Source organism: Homo sapiens, chromosome 2 (assembly GCF_000001405.40).
Source record: "Homo sapiens chromosome 2, GRCh38.p14 Primary Assembly".
NCBI classification, from domain to species: domain Eukaryota; kingdom Metazoa; phylum Chordata; class Mammalia; order Primates; family Hominidae; genus Homo; species Homo sapiens.
The window spans coordinates 87,801,978-87,826,223 of NC_000002.12; the positions used below are offsets into that span (position 1 = coordinate 87,801,978).

Consider the following 24,246-nt stretch of genomic DNA (forward strand, 5'->3'; position numbering starts at 1 on the left):
GCTATCTTGAAAAGTAATGAATGCCCATCACTGAAAACGTCCAGTCACAGGCAATGCCCACTTACTAGAAACATGCCAAAAGTAACTATATGGGTGACTAGAGCATCGGCTTTTAATTCTATCACCACTTTCTTAATTGGTGGTGGAAATGTAATTTGATACAACCTCTTTAGGGTTAGATATTTGGCAACAGCTCTAAAAATTATAAATGCACAGATATACTTTGATACTGCAATTCTTTCAGGAATTCATGGCACAAGTTAATCATTGCTAAATTACTTGAAGTAGCATTAAAAAAAAAAGTAAAAGCAAGCTAATGTCCTGGTTTTAGGACCCTGGTTTTAAAAACTCCAAAACTACAGTACATCCATACAATGGAATAATATGCAAGCATCCAAACTAATGAGAATGCCCTTTATATATACTGACATGGAAACATCTCCAAGATACAGTTAATGGAAATAAAGTAAATGCAATGTTCAAATGTTTTCCTCCTTCCTTTAAAGACAGGGGATATATGTGTGTTTACTTGGAGATGCATAAAACATTTCCTGAAGAACACACAAGAAAGCAATAACATTAGTTTCTTTGGGGCTGGAGAAAGTAAATAACTAGGGAACAGAAAGGAGTCTTCATAGCATATTCTTAAGAGCCGCCAGAATTTTAAACCATGTATATATAATTCTTTCCAAACATGCTCATTTTTCAAAATATATGATTTATGAACCTAAAAGCTTCTGATTTTGAATTTTAGAAATATTCATATCGCCTATCCTTTTACTCACAAGTTTTCTAAACATCATGTCAAAGTTTGTCATCTATATGTTGAAAAGAGCACACAAAGTAAGAAACAAAATGTTGACATCATTCTTTTTGTTTTCAAACTGACCTCAATTCATAAACCCGGCCTCTTTTACAAAATTATTCAACAGTTGAATCTGTGACCAGTTAATTAGTTGTGAATCCACTCAATCAAATCATCTCAATTCACTATTTCCTCTTTTTTTTTTGAGATGGAGTCTCGCTCCGTCGCCAGGCTGGAGTGCTGCAGTGGCACGATCTCGGCTCACTGCAATCTCCGCCTCCTGGTTTCAAGCAATTCTCCTGTCTCGGCCTCTCAAGTAGCTGGGACTACAGGCACCTGCCACCATGCGTGGCTAATTTTTGTATTTTTAGTAGAGATGGGGTTTGACCATGTTGGTCAGGATGGTCTCAAACTCCTGACCTCAAGCGATCCGCCCGCCTCAGCCTCCCAAAGTGCTAAGATTATAGGTGTGAGCCACCACGCCTGGCTATTTCCTCATCTTAACTAAAAGGTTTCAAGATACTTTGTTAACTACCTAGCTGCAATGCAGATGCACTTACTAGAACCACAGTATTCCTCTGATTAAGAGTCTGAAAATCTTGCCATAAAAGTTAGCCAATTCTTAAATACCCAAATGCCAGCACATAACCTACATTTTATGCTTATAATCATTTGTTCATTAAGCTTTAAAATAAACTGATCAAATAAAATACAAGCATCTAAGATGTTTCTATTATATATTCATTCTACAGAAATATGTGGTAGCTAATAAAGACTGAGGTAGGTATCTCTGTGCTGAAGTGGAACAATGAAGAAACATTCAGAAAAGCAAGGCATCTGGCAATAGGTAAAGCACACCCACATTGAGGCACAATATTTTTTAAAAGCAGAGAAAGAATGTATTGCACATTTGCATATGCAAAAAATATTTCTGAACACCCAAGAAACTCCTAACAGTAGCTGTCATCTAGGAAAGGAGACCTGAGTGAATGGATTAAGAGGGAAACTAACTTATTATGATTAAAAGTTCACAGTCAGGTGTGGTGGCTCATACCTGTAATCTCAGCACTTTGGGAGGGCAAGGCAGAAGGATCACTTGAAGCCAGGAGTTCAAGACCAACCAGCCTGGGAAACATAGCAAGACCTTGTCTTTACAAAAAATTTAACAATGTAGCCAGGCATGGTGGCAGGCACCTGTAGTCCCAGCTACTGAGCTGAGGCTGAAGCAGGAGAGGATCACTTGAGCCCAGGAGTTCGAGGATGCAGTGAGCTATGATCATGCCACTGCACTCCAGCCAGAGCAAGAGTGAGACTCTGCCTCCCAAAACTACATATCGAAAAATTTTAGGCTGTGCGCAGTAGCTGACACCTATAATCCCAGCACTCTGGGAAGCTCGAGCCCAGTTCAATGTTACGGTGAGCTACGATTACGCAACTGCACTCCAGCCTGGGTGACACAGCAAGACTCTAATAGACACACAGACAGATAAATTTTAAAGTTTCCATTAAAAATAAGAACTATTGGCAGGGCGCGGTGGCTCACACCTGTAATGCCAGCACTTTGGGAGGCCAAGGTGGGCGGATCATGAGGTCAGGAGATCGAGACCATCCTGGCTAACACGGTGAAACCCCATCTCTACTGAAAATACAAAAAAATTAGCCAGGCGTGGTGGTGGGTGCCTGTAGTCCCAGCTACTCGGGAGGCTGAGGCAGGAGAATGGCGTGAACCCAGGAGGCGGAGCTTGCAGTGAGCCGAGGTCGTGCCACTGTGCTCCAGCCTGGGCGACAGAGTGTGAGACTCCATCTCAAAAAAAAATAAAATAAATAAAAATAAGAACTATCAGTTACTTGAGAATTTCTATAAGAACCTTTTAATGTTTGTATTACCTAGTGAACCTCACTAAATCCATTAATTTTCACTAATCCATTCCTTATGAACACAGAAGTTTCTACTGAGCCAATATTAGCATTTAACATGTGAACTGTCTATCAACGGTGTTTTTAAAAGATTTACAGGCCAGGCTCAATGGCTCATGCCTGTAATCCCAGCACTTTGAGAGGCCGAGTCGGGTGGATCACGAGGTCAGAAGATCGAGACCATCCTGGCTAACATGGTGAAACCCCATCTCTATTAAAAAATACAAAAAATTAGCCAGGCATGGTGGTGTGTGCCTGTAATCCCAGATACGTGACAGGCTGAAGCAGGAGAATCACTTGAACCCAGGAGACACAGGTTGCAGTGAGCTGAGATTGCGCCACTGCACTCCAGCCTGGTGACAGAGCGAGACTCCGTCTCAAATAAAAATAAAAAGATTTATATTAGGCAGGGCATGCTGGCTCACTGCCTGTAATCCCAGCACTTTGAGAGGCCGAGACACGCAGATCACCTGAGTTCAGGAGCTCAAGACCAGCCTGACCAACATGGAGAAACCTCATCTCTACTGAAAATACAAAATTAGATGGGCGTGGTAGCGTGTGCCTGTAATCCCAGCTACTCGGGAGGCTGAAGCAGGACAATCGCTTGAACCCGGGAGGCGGAGGTTGCAGTGAGCCAGATGGCGCCATTGCACTCCAGCCTGGGCAACAAGAGCAAAACTCTGTCTCAAAAAGAAAAAAAGATTTATATTAGAAGGAGGGGCCTTCTCTAAAAGTAATGAATCCTTTTTTTTCCCTCCCCAAGCAAAAAATCCTTCTCTAAAATTAATCATTTTTCTAAGCCTGGTTTAATGCTTTTTTTGGAAGACTGCTTATTTCTTTTCCTTTCAAAAGTTATGCAAGCTCATTAAAAAAAAAAGTCCGGGAATGGTGGCTCACGCTTGTAAATCCCAGCACTTTGGGAGGCCGAGGCAGGTGGATGACTAGGTCAGGAGATTGAGACCATCCTGGCTAACACGGTGAAACCCCGTCTCTACTAAAAATACAAAAAAATTAGCCAGGCATGGTGGTGGGCGCTTGTAGTTCCAGCTACTCGGGAGGCTGAGGCAGGAAAATGGTGTGAACTCGGGAGGTGGAGCTTGCAGTGAGCCGAGATCGTGCCACTGCACTCCAGCCTGGGCGACAGAGCGAGACTCCGTCTCAAAAAAAAAAAAAGGCCAGGCACGCCAGGCACAGTGCCTCGGGCCTGTAATCCCAGCACTTTGGGAGACCAAGGCAGGTAGATCACGAGGTCAAGAGATTGCGACCATCCTGGCCAACATGGTGAAACCCCATCTCTATTAAAAATACAAAAAATTAGCTGGGCTTGGTAGCACGGGCCTGTAGTGCCAGCTACTCGGGAGGCTGAGGCAGGAGAATCACTTGAACCCAGGAGGTGGAGGCTGCAGTGAGCCGAGATCACACCACTGCACTCCAGCCTGGCAACAGAGAGAGACTTGGTCTCAAAAAAAATAAAAAAATAAAAAATAAGAAAAGGTTTTATGTTTTCAAAGATTAATAGATATACTGTTACATATACACAATACAGCCATAAATGTTATATACATGTGTTTCAATTAACATGTTAAATTGCAATCATATTCTTCTATCATAGGCTATAAAGCCATTGCCCTACATCTACTTATTAGGATTTTGTCCAAGTAACACACCTTTTTGAATCAAGCTTTACCCATAATACGAGATTACATCTTTATCATGTTCCCAAAAATGGCAGAGTAAAAAGATCAAACTCTTCAAATTTGTCTACAAACAAATCATGGCAATGCAGGCTTTCGACAAGAGTGCACTCAACATCCCTGTTTCACCAGCCTCACCAGTATTGTGTATGCTTAGTTATTTTCCACTGTATCAAATTGACTATTTCATTTTAATTCCACAGTTTGTTCACATATTGTCATTACATACCAGAGCACACCTTCATTTAAAACACATCAAGACTCCGTGAAATGTCAATTGCTCCTACAAGTGGAAGACTTACCTGAAATGCTATGACATAGCACAATGCAGCCAGCTCAGAAAGAGCTTGCCATTGAACATTATTACCATGCTGACCCATCTTCAAGAGCAGAGAACCAGCATGCATGTAGAAATGTCCTTTCATTTCTAAGAAAGTAGCTGACAGTTCATCATTTCCACCCAAAGAAGATTTTGCAGACTGAAGAGCACTATCAAAACTGTAATATGAAAATATCAAACAGATGATACACACTTACTGCACTGTGAATAATCATGGTTCATTTAATTCAAAACAAAATAAAAATTTTATTTCAAGCTTCATCTTCCACATTCAACTTCTAATAATTCTTATTCCCCATGTTATAAATTATGAATCATCTAATGCTTATTTTTATCCTGCATACTTCCTATACTTCATGCTTAACCTCTCAAATGATGTCTTATTCCCAGTTATTTCCAGCCCTCCAATCACAGGATAAATATAAGATTAGTGATTATAGGTGCACATTTCAAAATAAACCAGGATAAAGTTGGGAGACTATTTTGTAGTTTCTTCCTGATCATATAATTTCATTATTTAATTAACAGTTGTAATTTCTCAAATTAGACATACCATTTCCAAATTATAAGTAAGTAACTGACAGGTATTTGAGTATCAATACAGCAATTGCTCTTTTTACTATATAGATCATTACAGCGTTAAATTGTTTTTTTTTTTTTTTTTTTTTTTTGAGACAGAGTCTCTCACTATCGCCTGGGCTGGAGTGTAATGGCACGATCTAAGCTCACTGCAACCTCCACCTCCCAGGTTCAAGTGATTCTCCTGACTCAGCCTCCTGAGTAGCTGGGATTACAGGCACCTGCCACCATGCCCCGCTAAACTTTTTTTATATTTTTAGTAGAGACAGGGTTTTACTATGTTGGCCAGGCTGGTCTCGAACTCCTGACCTCACGATCCGCCCGCCTCAGCTTACCAATGTGCTGGGATTACAGGCATGAGCCACTATGCCTGGCCTATTATTTGTAATCTATATTCTAAATTAGTTCTTCTAAATCCTAATGTTTCTCCAAATCCTCACTTTGGAAGAAAAGTAAAAGCAAAAAGCAAACACTTAAACGTGAAGCATGATTTTAAAGTGGCTTACAATAACGCAACCAGAGCAAATGAGGTCTAAAGATCTCTGAGGGTGCTCAAAAACCCCTTCAGGGGATCCATGAAGTTAAAATTACTTTTACAATAATACCAAAAAAAAATTTATATATTACATACTCATTTTCTCATGTATGTAGAGCTGAGTTTTTTTGTTTTTGTTTTTGGAGACAGAATCTCACTCTGTCACAAGGCTGGAGTGCAGTGGCACAATCTTGGCTTAATGCAACCTCTGACTCCCAGGTTCAAGCGATTCTTCTGCCTCAGCCTCCCGAGCAGCTGGGAATATAGGCGCGTACCAACATGCCCGGCTAATTTTTTGTATTTTTAGTAGAGACAAGGTTTCACCATTGTTAGCTGGGATGGTCTCGATCTCCTGACTTCGTGATCCACCCGCCTCGGCCTCCCAAAGTGCTGGGATTACAGGCCTGAGCCACCGCGACCCGCTGAGCTGAGTTTTCTAGAGGCTTCATGACATGTAATAGTTTTACAGACTGAAAGAGGAAGTAAATGAGAATCTAGCTATGTTCTATTAAGCGAGACATTAAAAAGATTTACAAAAATGCAAAAACAATGACACTTTTCTGACTACTTTTTTGCTGTTGGAAAATAATTATTTTTCATAAAAAATGCTATTATTGGCCCTGCGCGGTGGCTCACACATGTAATTCCAGCACTTTGGGAGGCTGAGGCGGGTGGGTCACCTGAGGTCAGGAGTTCAAGACCAGCCTAGCCAACATGGTGAAACCCCATCTCTACTAAAAATACAAAAAATTAGCCAGGCGTGGTGGTGGGCACCTGTAATTCCAGCTACTTGGGAGGCTGAGGCAGGAGAATCGCTTGAACCTGGGAAGCAGAGGTTGCAGTGATCCGAGATCACACTGTTGCACTCTAGCCTGGGCAACAAGAGCAAACTCCGTCTCAAATAAAAAAAAAAAAAAAAAAAAAAAAAGCTATTATTATTAACACACAATAGGGCTTATTACATTTTTAATGGATTACATTTTTTATTTGTTTTAATTTCTAATGTAATAAACACTGACAGAAATAACCCACATACGGCCAGGTGCAGTGGCTCAGACCTGCAATCCCAGCACTTTGGAAGGCCAAGGCAGGCGGATCACGACGTCAAGAGATTGAGACCTTCCAGTACTTTGGGAGGCCAAGGTAGACAGATCAAGAGGTCAAGAGATCGAGACCAGCCGGGCGCGGTGGCTCATGCCTGTAATCCCAGCACTCTGGGAGGCTGAGGCAGGCGGATCACAAGGTCAGGATATCAAGACCATCCTGGCTAACACAGTGAAACCCCATCTCTACTAAAAATACAAAAAATTAGCTGGGTGTGGTGGCGGGCACCTGTAGGCCCAGCTACTCGGGAGGCTGAGGCAGGAGAATGGCGTGAACCCTGGAGACAGAGCTTGCAGTGAGCCGAGATGGCGCCACTGCACTCCAGCCTGGGCAACAGAGCGAGACTCCGTCTCAAAAAAAAAAAAGATCGAGACCATCCTGGCCAACATGATGAAACCCTGTTTCTACTAAAAATACAAAAATTAGCCAGGTGTGGGCTGAGCGCGGTGGCTCACGCCTGTAATCCCAACACTTTGGGAGGCCGAGGAGGGCAGATCACGAGGTCAGGAGATCGAGACCATCCTGGCTAACAGGGTGACACTCCGTCTCTACTAAAAATACAAAAAAATTAGCCGAGCGTGGTGGTGGGCGCCTGTAGTCCCAGCTACTCAGGAGGCTGAGGCAGAAGAATGGCGTGAACCTGGGAGGTTCACAAGGGGGGGTAACAAAGGGCCCATGAGTCCTGATTAACTGATCTGACAAACCATCTGTCACCCACCACCCTAAGCCACACTGTGAAACTGCCTAGGGTGGCACCAGCTTTTTATCTTCCTCAGGGTCCTCCCCTCAGGCCCCCAAGTCACCCCCTCATGGTCCGGATTCTCCCCTGAGTGACTCCATCCCCATGGTCATCTCCCCTCCTGAGCCTCCCCCTCTGAGGGCCAAGGGCTGTCCTCAGGGCCCTCCTGGGGCTTCCTGGTGGGGAACAACCTGAGGCAGGAGGATAAGCTCTTATTCAGAGCATTGAGAGGAAATTGTGAAGCTTGCAGTGAGCCGAGATTGCGCCACTCTACTCCAGGCTGGGTGACAGAGCGAGACTCTGTCTCAAAAAAAAAAAAAATTAGCCAGGTGTGGTGTCGGGCACCTGTAGTCCCACCTATTCAGGAGGCAGAGACAAGAGAATCACTTGAACCCAGGAGGCAGAGGTTGCAGTGAGCCGAGACTGCACCACTGCATGCCAACCTGGCGAGAGCAAGACTCAGTCTCAAAAAAAAAAAAAGAGAGATTGAGACCATCCTGAACCCCGTCTCTACTAAAAATACAAAAATTAGCTGGGCGTGGTGGTGTGCGCCTGTGGTCCCAGCTACTCAGGAGGCTGAGGCAGGAGAATCGCCTGAACCCGGGAGGCGGAGGTTACAGTGAGTCAAGGTCATGCCACTGCACTCCAGCCTGGTGACAGAGCAAGACTCCATCTCAAAAAAAAAAAAAAAAACAAAACAAAAAAGAAAGAAAGAAAGAAAAAAAGGAACCCACATACAAAGATCTTTGATGTCCTTAAGAAAAATGTAAAAGGAACTTGTGACCAAAAAATTTGAGTATACAAAGAACACAAAATAAAACATCCTACATGTTTTCTAAAATAATCTTAAAGTTATGTTAGTTCTTTTAGATACTGCTCTTACCCTACCAATTTAGGACACTATGTACTTTTTCAAGAAAATTACCTACTCCCTGCACTCAGTGAAATGAACTTCTTTCCTTATACCAGATGGGGAAATAAATTAACTTCCAAACAAATGGACAGCCTAAACTAGCAATCAGTAAACTTTTTCTACAAAAAGGAGGAGATTACTAATCTGGCTTTACAGGCATACAATCTCTGCTGCAACCACTCAATTCCAACCTTGTAGTATGTAAGCAGCCACAGACAATACATAAACAGAGGCATGTTGCATTCCAATAAATATTAACAAAATTAGGCAGGGGCCATATTTGGCCCACAAGTTCTAACCAACCCCTGCTCTAAACTAACATTTTTATACAAATCCAAGTGATGTTTTTGTTCAATGGAATTTATTTTCAAAATGGAGACACTGGTTTTCAAAATCAAAATTTAGGAAAAAAGGTAAATCACATAGTTGAGTTATTTTGTTTCTTAGCTAAAACAGTATTTTCTGAAATACCAGTGATGCTAAGTGCTTATACTAGTACATGTGAACCTAGCCATCTGATGACAGATGAACCTTAATTTTCACTCAAGATTATACTATTATAAAAAATAAAATATGAAATAGCAGTTAGAACATTCATTTTAAGCTTGACTATGACAAACCTGAGTATTTAACCATAAGGCTAATTTTAATCAAGCTTGAACTATAAGAGTTCTCTAAAAAGGAAAGTCATATAAAACCAATTAGAACTTCCCCGTAAAAGAAGAAAAATAAGATTGCCTCCTAGTGGTTCACTGTATTAACTATAACTCCTAGGTACATTATAGAAATAATGATGCAGTAAAGAAATTTAGAGCAATGAACTTACTGCAAAAAGAAAAACTACAATTTATACTAAAGCATTCTCCTCAAAGTCAACGCACCTTTCCAGTAATTCTCTACTTTCCTGCACATCTCTAGTGGAAAGCGTAAGAAGCATAAGATTAGCATAGGCCAGCAGTAAGTCTGTATTGGTTGCTCGCCAGTCACTTTTATCAGACTCCAAACACTGTAAAGACTCCAGATATTCCTATTTTGTGGAATGAATAGTAAGTTACAAAACTTAATCAAGTGTTAAGAAATTAACCATTTTATGCCTACAAATTCCTTTTCTCACTCTAACCACGTTTGTGAAACTACATTGATTTTTACATCAACCTTATAAATGAAAACACCAAAAATATATACATTTATCATAGTTATCTCCCCAACTTTCCCATTATAAATTTAACTGATCCTGGTAAAAATTTCATTTTATAACTGTTCTACCTAAATAAAAGAAATTTAAGTCCTGCGGGGCACTGCTGCTTTAGTACAAAAAGATGTATGCTAATTGCCTACATAGAAATGTAAAGACCCAATAGCTTTTATCTACCTTAAGGGTCTGTACAACACACGAATTCCACTCTAAACTTGAACGCAAAGCTATGTTCCTCTCTGCCTCATGGCAGCGGGCCACAGCATCCTTCAATCTTTTATTTGAGCGATACAACTCCACTAGCCGGATGTTCATATGGACGTCATCAGGTCTTACATAAAGTTCTGACTGAATCCAGTCAAAAAGTTTATTCCATCCATCTTCACCTTCACAATCTAGAAGATGTTCCTATTTAGAGGGGAAAAAGAAAAATTATTAGAGTAACACTTGTGCAATTTTAAACAAGTCATGCTCCCAAAAAGCACCATTCCACTATGTCTAGTTTTATGATGATGCCACCAAAAACACCATCCTATATACCTTATTCGTCCCTTCTGAGAGTTGCTTACAACCCAGAAACTAAGCCTCAAGAACTGTATGTGAAGAAAAGCATCTGTGATTACTGCAGTAGCTTATACTCTCTTCAGAGACTACCAGGACTATTGCCACACATCCCTGTCCATCTGAGTCACCACCAGAAGCCTAGACCTCCCCAGTCAATCCTCAGCAACAAGGTCCTTATGCTCAAACTGCTCTGTATCTCCTTAAATCTGACTCAATCCCACATCCCCTCTCCTCCCACTGTTCTGTTACCTTCATCATCATCTCAAAGCACTGTCATCACCTCCTGATCTTAAATGAAGACAGTATCATCTCAGGATAACCCCCACTACCATGATGGCTTTTTCTCTCTGAACTTACATACAAGGAGAGGAAGTAGGGTTTGTGGCCACTCGCTTCTCATTTGCGATGCTCTTCCATCAGCCTCTCAAGAAGCTAGGACCATAGGCATGCACCACCATGCCCGGCTAATTTTTTTTTAACGTTCTGTAGAGATGGGGTCTTGCCGTGTTGCCCAAGCTGACTACTCAGTTCCTTAATCACCTCATCTCCAGTCATGTTATCCTCTACTCCAACCTCAACCATCCACTTGCCACTGACACAGGTCTTCAAAATCTGCATTTTGGTCATACCACCGAAACGACCATACCATCCTTCTTATTCTTCCACCTCACTGAGGGCCTACGTACCCTTACTTTCAGAAATATACTTCTCCACCACATGACAAGTTCCCTTCAAGACAATAACATCATCAAGTTTTAAGCACCTGTAAACACATATAAATACACACACTTTCTTCTGTCAGGCAAAAAATGCTATAATCCCTTATATCCATAATTACTGTTTGCTTACAGATCCCTTCAACTAATTCCCTCTTTTCCTCAGAACCCTCCCAACTGGTTTCTGTGTGCTTAGATTTGGGAAATCATAACCCCAAGCTAACCGATTTCATTTGCATTATCTCAACCATCAAACTGGTGCTGCCTAAAACAAAATGCCATTTTAGTACTAACAGACTCACTTTCTCCACTCCCTGACACTTCACACCTCCTCCTATTTCCTCAACTTCCCCATACCTTCCTTTGACCCTCACTTTCAACTTATAACCTAGATTCATCCTTCACTGAGAAACCTGATGCTATCACATATAAATTCCATTTTACCTTACCTACTTAAACTCGTCTTTCCCCAGCTCTCAAGACCAAGCCGTCCATTACTACTCTGTATTTCATTCCCCTCTCTCCTTTATCAATTTCTCCTCTTCTGGATGAGATGGATGATACCCTGGTCTCTCCCTATTGCAAAAGCCCTAGTCTTTGACTCTATGTTAAACATTTTTTAAAAAACCACTATGAGTGCTTTTAAAAAGTTCTATCTCATACTTGAGAGAAAAAGCCTTCTCAACAGTAATACTCTCATTCATTAAACAAATGTCAGAAACTGTTTACCTTAGCAAGCCTTAAATTTTAGGAGAAATGGAATTACTTTGCATGACAATTATAAATCTCATGGATTTCAATTCCAAAAAAAAAAAAAAATCTGATACAGGAAAGGTGTTAACAGTGCCTTCAAGTTATTAAAGAAAATCTTTAAAGAGTGCTTCAAAGTATCTAACTTGTTACACTGCAAGAAAACAATCTCCTGCCATTACATATGTTCTTTAACACTACTGACACCAGATTAACTGGATTGCCACGCCCAATATGGGAGTTATGTTTGAGGCATAACACCTAAGAGAGTAAAGAAATCTGCACAATTAGACCTCATGTTTTAGACTAATATTTAAAATCCAGCTGCTTATTACTGGGGAGAAAAACTTATCAGTAATATTTATCTTTGGAAGCATCTTCAATGCTTTTTCAGCTTCAAAAATCTGGACATGATTGTTCATAGCAGTTGAACAACAGCCAAAACCTAGAAATAACCAAAATGCCCCTCAAAAGTGAATGGTTAAGGCTGGGCACAGTGGCTCACACCTGTAATCCCAGCACTTTGGGAGGCCAAAGTGGGTGGATCACCTGAGAACCCGGGAGGCAGAAGTTGCAGTGAGCCGAGATAGCACCACTGCACTCCAGCATGGGCGACAGAGCAAGACTCTGTCTCAAAAAAATAAAAATAAAAAAAGTGAATGGTTAAATTGTGGACCATGAAATGCTACTCAGAAGTAAAGGAACCAACTATGGATATACAAAACTTAATATGGATCACAAATGGTATTATGCTGACTGAACAAGCCAACCTCAAAAGGTCACATGCTTGGCTGGGCGCGGTGGCTCACGCCTGTAATCCTAGCACTTTGGGAGGCTGGGGTGGGCAGATCACATGAGGTCAGGAGTTCGAGACCAGCCAGGCCAACATGGTGAAACCCCGTTTCTGCAAAAATACAAAAATAAGCGGGACACGGTAACATGTGCCTGTAGTCCCAGCTACCCGGAAGGCTGAGGCAGGAGAATTGCTTGAACCTGGGAGGCACAGGTGGCAGTGAGCCGAGATTGCGCCAGTGAACTCCAACCTGGGCAACAGAGCGAGACTCCGTCTCAAAAACAACGAAAAAAGAAAAAAAAAAGTCACACATTTCATGATGACATTTACATAACATTTTGAAATCACCAAAGTATAAAGATGGAGAACAGATTAATGGTTGCCAGAGGTCAGGCATAGTGAAGAGAAGTAAATAGCATGACTACAAAAGGGGCAGCATGAGGAAGATCTCTGTGGTAATAGAGTAGCTCTGTATCTTGACAGTAGTGGTGGTATGAATCTACACATGATAAAATGAAAGAAAACTATATACATACACATTGTACCAATGTCAAAATTCCTGATTTTGATATTGTGCTTTGGTCGGGTTAAACAGGTTGAGTATCCCCTATCCAAAATGCTTGAGACCAGAAGTATTTCAGATTTTGAATTTTTTCAGACTTTGGAATATTTGCAGGATACTTAGCAGGCAGAGCATCCCAAATCTGAAAATCTGAAATCCAAAATTTTCCAATGAGCATTTCTTTGAGCATCATGTCAGTGCTCAAAAAATTTCAGATTTTGGAGCATTTAGGATTTCAGATTTTAAATGCTCAACCTGTATAAGCATTGGGGAAAAATGAAGTAGCATATAGGATCTTTCTGTGCAATCTTTGCAACTTCCTGTGCAAAAAAATCTATAATTATTTCAAAATTAAAATTTTTTAAATTTCTATCAGAAACATATACAATGGGGGTAGGAGGAGGCTAAAGGCAAATATACATTTATAATTTTATATTGTACATACACAATAAAGTATACATTAATATATAAAATATTACAATATACATTTTAAATGTTTGCCAAACATATTTGTGTAGATTTTCTCCAGAACAGTTACTTAGTAAACTATATTTTGCTCTATAAAGAATATCAGGACCAGTCAATACACTAGCAAGAACTTCCTACCATTTTTAGTAATTACATCTTATATACTAGAGAAACCACCTTTTATCTTTTCCTTGAAAACTTTACTATCTCAAAATACAATCCCTTCTACTTTCAGACCATAGTTATTAGAAAACTCTTCTTTAAAATATCCCTAAATTGTCATCCTGTAGGTAATTTTCACTTAATGAAGCAAAAATTGTATACCAGACAGAACTTAATGTAAATCTTAGCTCTACTTAGTTTACAGCTACTAAACTGTAAAATCCCTAAAATATTAATTATTCCAGAAGGGTAAATGAGATGTCACTTATAAAGTATAACAATGCCTAATAAGACAGCAGATGCTCAGAAAGGTTTTAATACACTTTTTAAAAGAAAAATGTTAAAGGAAACACAAACACCTGGGCTTAAGGTTTGCTATTGAAAAGTAATTTAAACTCCAAATATTAGAAATGGTTATGTCTTAAGTTTTCTCCCTTTATGTTTTGTATGTTTACCTTTAGTTTATAAATTGCAGGACTTCCTGGGAAAAGTTTCGCTGCCCTTTCAACCCAGTATTTTGCTCTTCCATCAGTAACATCATTTTTACAAAGCAATTCTGCAATCTTCAACACAAGATCTTTTTGTGGTGGGTTTAATTCCAGTGAACGCTAATATCAGAAAAGAAATTAAAGATTAGTAAATAAATTGTATGTATGTATGTAGGAGTATATATACTTATATACTTATATATAAAGGTTAAAAATTATCACTCCAACCCTTAAAAAATTCTACTTCTAGAGAAAACATGTTACTTCAAAGGTGTTAAAATAAAAGTGTCTTGGAATTTTCTGGAAATGAATCAAATAAAAATTATATTTGTGTCATTTGAATGCAAAAGAACACAAAAGAACACCATTTCTGACCATGTTAGACTTACAATTTATAGGTGTTAAACAATTCTAAATCTGTTCCAAGCTGTGTCACATAATTGTACTATGATACCAATGCCTGTTTTATGATATTCATAAAATATATTTGACTTACTTATATAAATTTCTCTGGGCATCATGTGTTTGGCTATGCAAAGGCTATATTTGAATCCTATAACTTACCCTGTAACATTCAACGGCTTTCTCTGTGTTTTCTTCCAATTCATAAAGAAGACCCAGAAATCTGTGAGCTCTGGGATCCCTCTCTTGCACACTAAGGTAAGTACATACGTATCTGTTTTTCAAAAGTAATACAAAAGTAAATTAAACTTAGAACTGTACTTTTAAATGCTAACCGAAGAATACATCTTAAACCAAAGCAACCACTAAACTCGTTTATATTGTTACTCAAAACTACCACTATTTATGCAGATAACTCAGAAGTATTCATAGAAAGAAATGGGTAATACTTAAAAACACGTACATAGAGTTGACCACATACTCGTTTTACCATTAAATGTCACATTTACCAAATTTTTCTCCAGTGTTATCCACGCATAAGAAATGAACATATAAATTGCTTTTTCTTCCTGATCACATTTTAATAAAGCACTAACAGTTTTGCAAATAAATTAGAAGTGATTATAGTAAACATTTTTAAAGTTATCATAATGCAAAATACTAAACAGCAACAATTTCCCAAACAACAAAGGGAAATACACCTACCCTTTAAGCAAGAAAGTAATTTCTAACAGTACTATATCCAGCTAAAATCGAACAGAAGACAAATTACTAATTACAGTACCAAATACAGGAAATTTCCATTTCTCAAATCAAGTAACAACTAAAATAAGTAAATATCCTCTAGGTTCCTTGACAGTATTACCATCAGAGAAATTAGGCCAGACCCAAACTAAGGGATTAAAGTCTCACAGTAAAAAGGTACAAGAGTTAACAGTCACAGTGCTGCTAGTTACATAATTTATGTACCACCATTTTCCTTTCTTACCAGCATTTCCATCTTCCTTTGGATGCCTTTAAAAGCCTGCCTCCCAGCTGGGAGCAGTAACACACACCTGTAGTCCCAACAGTATGGGAGGCCGAGGCAGGCAGACTGCTGTGCTCAGAAGTTCAAGACTAGCCTGGGCAACATAGTGACACCTGTCTCTACCAAAAAATGCAAACCTTAGCCAGGTGTGGTGGTGCTCATCTGTATCCCCAGCTACTTGGGGCGCTGAGGTGGGAAGATCTCTTGAGCCCAGAAGGCAGAGGTTACAGTGAGCAAAGATGGAGCCAGCTGCTGCACTCCAGCCTGAGCAAGAGAGACAGATACTGACTAAAAAAAAAAAAAAAAAAAAAAAAACCCTGCCTCCCTCTTAATTTCCTGCTTTAATCCACTCCCAGTCAGGAAATCAGAATCACCAAGCTTCTTATCCCTAGGATAGAGCCTTAGAGCATCACATATTGTGTCAATTAAAGATCTTTTATACAAGCTATTCTCCTGCCTTACAATTACAGTTTTTTATTCATTGCTATTTTCCATCTGATTAAGGTATCAGATATCTAACCAAAAACAAATGAAGATATAGGCATGGTCCTCTTTTACTCCAACAGAAGACAATTTTTAGAAAAAGTGTTTTAAGCCAAACAATTTCTTGCCCTTGGTATAAAGCAGCAGCATGCAGAAAACACTAATTACGGTTTCAATCTCAATGGAATCTAGGCTGGTCCTTAGCATCAGTCTGAGTGATAAATCCCTTATTCCAGAATACACTTAGGAAGAACTACTAAGAACATATTTTTACCTATTTCAAAGAAGAAAATGAGAAAAGGCATTGATTTTAAAAAAAGAATACATGTTACAGTTTGTACTTACTTTTTAGCAAGATCATATTCTTTAGCTTCATAATACAGCTTTGCAAAATAGAATCCTCTCAACTTCTAAAAAAAATTAAAAGTTGTTTTACGTTTCATACAGAAATATTTTCCAACATTTTTTCAAAAGTAGTAAAAATCTGCCCTAAGTTTATGTTCAAATATGCCATTTTCATTCACTTAAAAGTTTTTTTTAAAGCCTGACAAATGCATAATTCCATGTTTTATAATTTCCTATCACAAAACAAAAAATAGAGCTGGGTGCAGCGGCTCATGCCTGTAATCCCAGCACTTTGGGAGGCCGAAGTGGGCGGATCACCTGAGGTCAGGAGTTTGAGACCAGCCTGGCGTTATAACATGGTGAAACTCCGTCTCTACAAAAATAGAAAAATTAGCCAGGCATGATGGCGGGTGCCTGTAATCCCAGCTACTCGGGAGGCTAAGGCACGAGAATCAGTTGAACCCAGGAGGTGGAGGTTGCAGTGAGCCAGAGGTTGCAGTCAGCTGAGATCGTGCCATCGCACTCCAGCCTGGGCGACAGAGACTCCATCTCCCAAACATCATCATCATCGTCATCATAAATAAGCTGGGTGCAGTTGGTCACACCTTTAATTCTATTTAATTCTAGCACTTTCAGAGACCAAGGTGGGAGGCTAGCTTTGAGGCCAAGAGTTTGAAACCAGCCTGTGCAACACAACAAGATCCTGTCTCCAGGGGGAAAAAAATAGCCAGGCATAGTGGAGCATGCCTGTGTTCCTAGCTACTCAGGAGGCCAAGGAAGGAGAATCACTTGAGCCCAGGAGGTTGACACTGCCGTGAGTTATGACTGTGACACTGCACTCCAGCCTGGGTGACACAGGGAGATCCTGTCTCTAAATAATAAATACATAACATACAAAAAATAAATTCAAGAAAGCAAGACAAGCAGACAACAGAAGTTAAGAATTTTCATCAGCCTTGGAAATCTTGGAAACCCTGTGGTACCACTCTCTCACTTAACAAACAAAAGAAACCAGCTTTCTTTGGGGAGGAAAGGTATTCCAGAAATCTCTTCTCCTACCATGTGTAAGCCTCTATGGGAAAGAATAAGTAAGTACTTACGATCTATTAAGGCACTGAGGATTCCCTGTGCCTTAATAGTACATGTACTGTTCTCTCTACAGATCAGATCAGTATTTTACAGTCAAGGAGTCAAAAAGGCAGAAATAAATATTGAATTCTTCAAGTAATAAACAAGGTCCACAGCCTGGCTCCTTGGTTACGTAAACTCCAAAGTCCAAAATGCTGATGCACACCAGGCTGGGTGCGGTGGCTCACACCTGTAATCCCAGCACTTTCGGAGACTGAGGCGGGTGGATCACTTGAAGCCAAGAGTTCGAGACCAGCCTGGCCAACATGCAGAAACCTCCTTTCTACTAAAAATACAAAAATTAGCTGGGCATGGTGGCACACGCCTGTAATCCCCGCTGCTTGGGAGGCTGAGGCAAAGAATCGCCTGAACCCGGGAGGCAGCAGTGGGCCAAGACCGCACCACTGCACTCCAGCCTGGGCAACAGAATGATTCCATCTCAAAAAAAAAAAAAAAAAAAAAAAAAGCTGATACAACCAGAGTATGTTCCATCCATGTGATAAAGAGTATACAGCCACTCAAACATCTTATTTTTGAAATTCCAAGACCCCAGTGAATGTCCAAAACGATGAACAGTATCAAACCAGGTTGCCATCAATCGAAACATGTTTCCTGTTTGTGTCCTCCACCCACAAATTTAATGTCTTGTCCATCTCAACAAAGCACTTATCACACACTGTGGCTGTAACTTTTGCAGTTTGGGGTGTCACAACAAAACTAGCACAAATTTCTTTTTCCTTCTTCACAATTTCATGGACAAAAGATTTGTTCTTACCGTAGATCTTAGCAACCCCAGTATACGATCTTTTTTCTTTCCTAAGTCAAAAACTCACCTCTTCACTTAAAGGAAGCACTATATGGCTTCTCTCTGGCATATGTGAACTGCCAGCATCGCTATTCTTGCTCTTTGGTGCCATTTTAAATAAAATAAGGGTTACTTGAACACAAGCACCGCAATACTCCAACAACTGATCTGATAACTGAGATGGCTAGTATGTAACTAGCGGGTGGGGAGCACATACAGCATGAATATATTGGACAAAGGGATGATTCGTGTCCTGGGTAGGACGGAGCAGGAGGCTGTGAGATTTTTATCATGTTATTCAGAACTGTTTGCAATTTAAAACTCATGAAATGTTTATTTATATAATCTTCCATTCAATATTTTTGGACCACGGGTGACGCAGGTAAGTAAAACCACGTAAGGCAATACTGTGGATAAGAAGGGACTACTGTACCAGCAACGAACAATCAGAAAAGGAAATTAAGAAAGCAATTCCATTTACAATCGCATCTAAATGAAAAAAATGCCTGGGAATAAATGTAAACAAGGAGGTGAGAGACTTGTATGCTTAAATTACAAAACGTTGCTCAATGCCAGGCTAACACCTGCAATCCCAGCACTGGCGACAGAGCAAGACTCCATCTCAAAAAAAAAAGAACTATAGCAATCTTAACAAAAATAATACACAACAGTCAGGACAGCACATAAAGGAACAAGGCTTGTTCCCCGCTTCCTTTTTTTTTTTGAGATGGAGTCTTGCTCTGTCGCCAGGCTGGAGTGCGGTGGCTCGATCTCAGCTCACTGCAACCTCTGCGTCCCGGGTACAAGCTGGGACTACAGGCGCACGCCACCATGCCCAGCTAATTTTTGTATTTTTAGTAGAGATGGGGTTTCACCATGTTGGCCAGATGGTGTCGTTCTCTCGACCTTGTAATCTGACTTCCTCCGCCTCCGAAGGTGCTGGGATTACAGGCCTCAGCCACCGAGCCCGGCCAGTTCCCCCTTTTCAAAATGAAGAAATAGATTCAAGGTACAATGCCAAAACATAATAGAAAAATAATTCCATTACCTTCTTTGCTTCCAACTATGTTATTAAAGTAGACAATCTTAAGATAATTAAACAACTTTACAAATTATTCTTCTGTATGATCTTTTGCCTCTAACCTCACTTTACAAGGGAACTGAAGCTCAAGCAGGCAAATGCCTTGTTTAAAGATATACAGCTAGGAAGGAGCACAGCCCACGTTATGTAAACAGGACAATATCTGATTCAAGCAGTACTTCTTTACATGACAGCAGATGTCACTATAAGCAAATACCTGAATTCACTTAAGCTGCCAAATATCAAGAACTGATGCAGGGCTGAAAACAGGAACAGTAAGACCCTAAGAGATGCCACATCATCGCTATCTTGCACAGTAAGATAGAGATGTAATTGTAATTGTCCAAAACTTAACATTTGTGGCCTACTTTTTCATTATGCAGTTCTAAATTTCTCTCTCTTTTTTTTTAATTCAAACGGAGTCTCGCTCTGTCGCCCATCTTGCACAGTCAAATGAATCTCCCTCCCCCTAAAATCCTCCAAAAAAGCTGCTGTTCTCAACAAACCCATCTGATCAGCTCCAAATCTGTGGAGTCCCAACAAGGGTGAAGGCCGTGATTATACAGGACAATGAGGAAAAGTCTAGATACTGAAACATGAATTCCCCAGTCTTCTTCCCCTGGAACATAAGGGTAAGGAAATCTCTCAAAAGGCAGAACAAACAAAAGAGGAGAATAAGAGAAAAATTAGAGAAACTCCAGCTTTCAGGTAAACATCATTAAAAAAAAGGGTAAGAAATGGTCAAAGAAATAATACAAGAAACGCTACAGAACTGAAAGAAATGAGTTTCCCAATTGAAAGGACACTTCCAGAAAACCTTTGTTACCAAGAACAAGACTCTCATCAGACTCCTAACAACAGAACTTCTGGAAAATGGAGCAATGCTTTCAAAATTGCGAAAAAAATTATTTCAAACTCAGAATTCGATAACCAAATGATCAACTAAATTAAGTAAAGATGTTTTAAAGACATACCATTAGTTTCCAGACCAGCCTGAACAGTATGGTGAAATTCCATCTCTACTAAAAATAGAAAAAATTAGCCGGGCATGGTGGCGCACACCCGTAATCCCGCTACTCGGGAGGCTGAGGCAGGAGAATCACTTGAACCCGGGAGGCGGAGGTTGTGGTGAGCTGAGACCATGCCACTGCACTCCAGCCTGGGCAACAGAGCAAGACTCTGTCCCAAAACAAAAACAAACAAAAAAACCTCTCATCCACTTTTCCTCAAAGCAAGTGAACTATGCTACACCAAAACAAAGAAAGTAAATGAAGATGACATGAGATACAAGAAACAAAGGGTCTAACTCAGAAAAAAGATGAAGGGAATTCTCAAACTGGTGATAAAGGGAAGTCCCAAGAGCACAGCTGTGTAGCAAAGAGGAAGAAAAACCAATCTGGGTTGGAGAAGTCGGTTAGTAAGGGTATTCCAGGTAGACAGACAATCAATCAATCAATCAATCAATCAATGTTTTAAGCTGAAATTGATCGGATTATGTGACCAGTTTGACCACATTTGAGGGTTTAAGTTGCTGAGTTTAAGTAACCAAGTAGTAACACAACATACAAGCAAACCAAAAAATAAAGCAATTATTCAGTCCAGGAAAAACAAAACTGCACAACAAGGGCAATTCAAATGCAAAATATTTACCTTATATTTATATAAATGTTAAATATTCATTTAAACAAAAACTCCAATAACAGTACTGAAACAATGAGGGGCAAAGCAAAGTGTCTGAGGACAGTTTTGGAGGAGCATAATAGCCAGTACAGAATGTCTAAAGTGGGGCCGGGCGCGGTGGCTCACGCCTGTAATCCCGGCACTTTGGGAGGCTGAGGCGGGCGGATCATGAGGTCAGGAGATCGAGACTATCCTGGCTAACACGGTGAAACCCCGTCTCTACTAAAAATACTAAAAAATTAGCCGGGTGTTGTGGCGGGTGCCCGTAGTCCCAGCTACAGGCTGGGGCAGGAGAATGGCGTGAACCCCGGAGGCAGAGTTTGCAGTGAGCCGAGATCGCGACACTGCACTCCAGCCTAGGCCATAGAGCGAGACTCTGTCTCAAAAAAAAAAAAGAAAACAAAATGTCTAAAATGGGAGAAAGGGAATTCAAAATAACAAAAGTATATGTGTGTGTTACTCAGAAGCATGAAGTATAGATGTAAAGGGCAGAAAAAAAAACTAACAGCTGTCAAAGGTGCCTGCCTGTAGTCCTAAGTACTCAGGCAACAGAGGTAGGAGGATCATTTATGCCCAAAAATTTGATGGCAGCCTGGACAACACAGCAAGACCCTATTCTAAAAAACAAATAAATAAAAATAAGAGCTGTCAAGTAGAGTTTGAGAAGTAGGAATCAGCTGCAGAATAAGAAACCAACTTGACAGAACATAGAAAAACTAAACAGAAGCCATCTGGAAAAAGAAAAACTAGAGAAAGAATTATATATTTTTTTATTTTTTTATTTTTTGGAGACAGAGTCTCGCTCTGTCACACAGGCTGGAGTGCAGTGGCGCAATCTCTGCTCACCACAACCTCTGCCTCCAGGGTTCAAGCAATTCTCCTGTCTCAGCCTACCGAGTAGGTGGGACTACAGGCGCTGCCACCACGCCCGGCTCATTTTTGTATTTTTAATAGAGACGGATTTTCACCATGTTGGTCAGGCTGGTCTCTCTGCCTCCCAAAGTGCTCGGATTACAGACGAAGAATATTTTTAAGAAGGGCAAAAGCACATGTGAGGGAGTAGAAAAATGGCAAAACAAGAGAAGATTAACAAATGAAAGCACAATGGAAGACTAGAAAGATATGATATACAGACGCATCATCACACTCCAAAACTCAGACATTCTAGAAAGCATGGGCAGTTCACAGATGGCCAGCCTCTGCCAAACTGGGGGAGAATACTAACCTCTTTATATTCTTCACAGCCACTGCCTCTTCTCCCTCCATTCCTTACCTTCTATCCAAAGCACCCTGTTTTGTCATTTCACTCAAACCTAACTTTACAGAATAGCTTCACATGTTCCAAAGTTACTCACTAGTTAATCCATATTCCGTTGAAATCCCCAGGTTCTAATGTAAATGACTTTAAATTTGGGGGAAAAAAAAAGACTCTAAGTGTAAGAGAGGTGAGGCCGAGGCCGAGGCCGCCGCCGCCGCCCGGCCAGGCCGAGGCCGCCGCCGCCGCCGCCGCCGCCGCCCGGCCAGGCCGAGGCCGAGGCCGAGGCCGCCGCCGCCGCCGCCCGGCCAGGCCGAGGCCGCCGCCGCCGCCGCCCGGCCAGGCCGAGGCCGAGGCCGCCGCCGCCGCCGCCGCCGCCGCACATTAACCTTTTAAGTTAAAGATTAAGAGAACCAACACCTCTTTACAGTGAAATGCCCCAACTAAATACTACCGTATGGCCCACCATAATTGCCCCCATACTTCTTACACTATTCCTCATCACTCAGCTAAAAATATTAAATACAAATTACCATCTACCCCCCTCACCAAAGCCCATAAAAATAAAAAACTATAGTAAACCCTGAGAACCAAAGTGAACGAAAATCTGTTCGCTTCATTCATTGCCCCCACAATCCTAGGTCTGCCCGCCGCAGTACTGATCATTCTATTTCCCCCTCTATTGATCCCCACCTCCAAATACCTCATCAACAACCGACTAATTACCACCCAACAATGACTAATCCAACTAACCTCAAAACAAATGATAGCCATACACAACACTAAAGGGCGAACCTGATCTCTTATACTAGTATCCTTAATCATTTTTATTGCCACAACTAATCTTCTCGGGCTCCTACGCCGAGGCCGCCGCCGCCGCCGCCGCCGCCCGGCCAGGCCGAGGCCGAGGCCGCCGCCGCCGCCGCCGCCGCCGCCCGGCCAGGCCGAGGCCGAGGCCGAGGCCGCCGTCGCCGCCGCCGCCGCCCGGCCGAGGCCGAGGCCGAGGCCGCCGCCCGGCCGAGGCCGAGGCCGAGGCCGCCGCCCGGCCAGGTCGAGGCCGCCGCCCGGCCAGGTCGAGGCCGCCGCCCGGCCAGGTCGAGGCCGCCGCCCGGCCAGGTCGAGGCCGTCGGTCTCTTCGAGATCCACTCACCTTTCCAGGCGACGGGGCGGAGCCCTGCACCGAGGCGAGGTACCGCTCCCCGTAGGCTTTGCTGCGCCTCATCGCACCGCCAACCTGGCTCCCGAGACGCGTGAAACCAGCGCTCAGCCCCGCAGCAGTCGCCAATTCCAACAGGAAAGCGCCTGAAAGCCACTGACGTAGCCGGCGGAGGACCACTGTGACGCACTTGTGTACTGCGTCAGCACTGTGTATCCTTGGCGACGTCGGCGCTCGAGCTGCACTCGGCCGGGCTCTTGGCAGCACCCTGTGCTCTGAGGGTGTCTTGCCCGCCGGGCGCCGTGGCTCACGCCTGTAATCCCAACACTTTGGGAGGCCGAGGCGGGTGCTGTAAACCATTCATTTGCTTATTTCAATATTTTCATTTGTATGCTTTCAGATAAGCTGAACTTGTTCCAATCTGCTATACATAGGTTTGTTTATATCTTTACAGTAAATATCTCAGTTAAGAATTATTTTCTCTTTGTAAAGACATTGTGACTCAGATACTACTTGTAAAGTCTATAGGAACACACAGCTAGTAAATGGCATAATTGAAA

General features: G+C 41.5%; 1 protein-coding gene and 2 pseudogenes across 10 annotated transcripts in view; 2 read left to right on the plus strand and 1 right to left on the minus strand.

Moving 5' to 3' along the window:
- The window catches only part of RGPD2 (RANBP2 like and GRIP domain containing 2), a 233,859-nt gene that overhangs the window by 46,018 nt on the left and 163,595 nt on the right, over positions 1 to 24,246 (minus strand). For 7 of the 10 annotated variants that reach the window (XR_007081580.1, XR_007081581.1, NM_001078170.3 and 4 more), the window contains exons 1-7: positions 23,681 to 23,819; positions 16,582 to 16,646; positions 14,889 to 15,000; positions 14,292 to 14,444; positions 9,999 to 10,229; positions 9,508 to 9,653; positions 4,719 to 4,914 (exon numbers count right to left, since the gene is read on the minus strand). Coding sequence is in view for 8 of the 10 variants with exons in the window: in NM_001078170.3 (NP_001071638.2) it covers positions 4,719 to 4,914; positions 9,508 to 9,653; positions 9,999 to 10,229; positions 14,292 to 14,444; positions 14,889 to 15,000; positions 16,582 to 16,646; positions 23,681 to 23,752 (975 nt within the window). In the remaining 2 variants the exon portion in view is untranslated. Of the gene's footprint in view, positions 1 to 4,718; positions 4,915 to 9,507; positions 9,654 to 9,998; positions 10,230 to 14,291; positions 14,445 to 14,888; positions 15,001 to 16,581; positions 16,647 to 23,680; positions 23,820 to 24,246 lie in introns of those variants that run through there. The other 3 variants (XM_047445734.1, XM_017004845.2, NM_001393613.1) reach the window with 2 other exon arrangements.
- On the plus strand, positions 22,965 to 23,166 carry MTATP8P2 (MT-ATP8 pseudogene 2; annotated as a pseudogene).
- Positions 23,127 to 23,389, plus strand: MTATP6P28 (MT-ATP6 pseudogene 28; annotated as a pseudogene).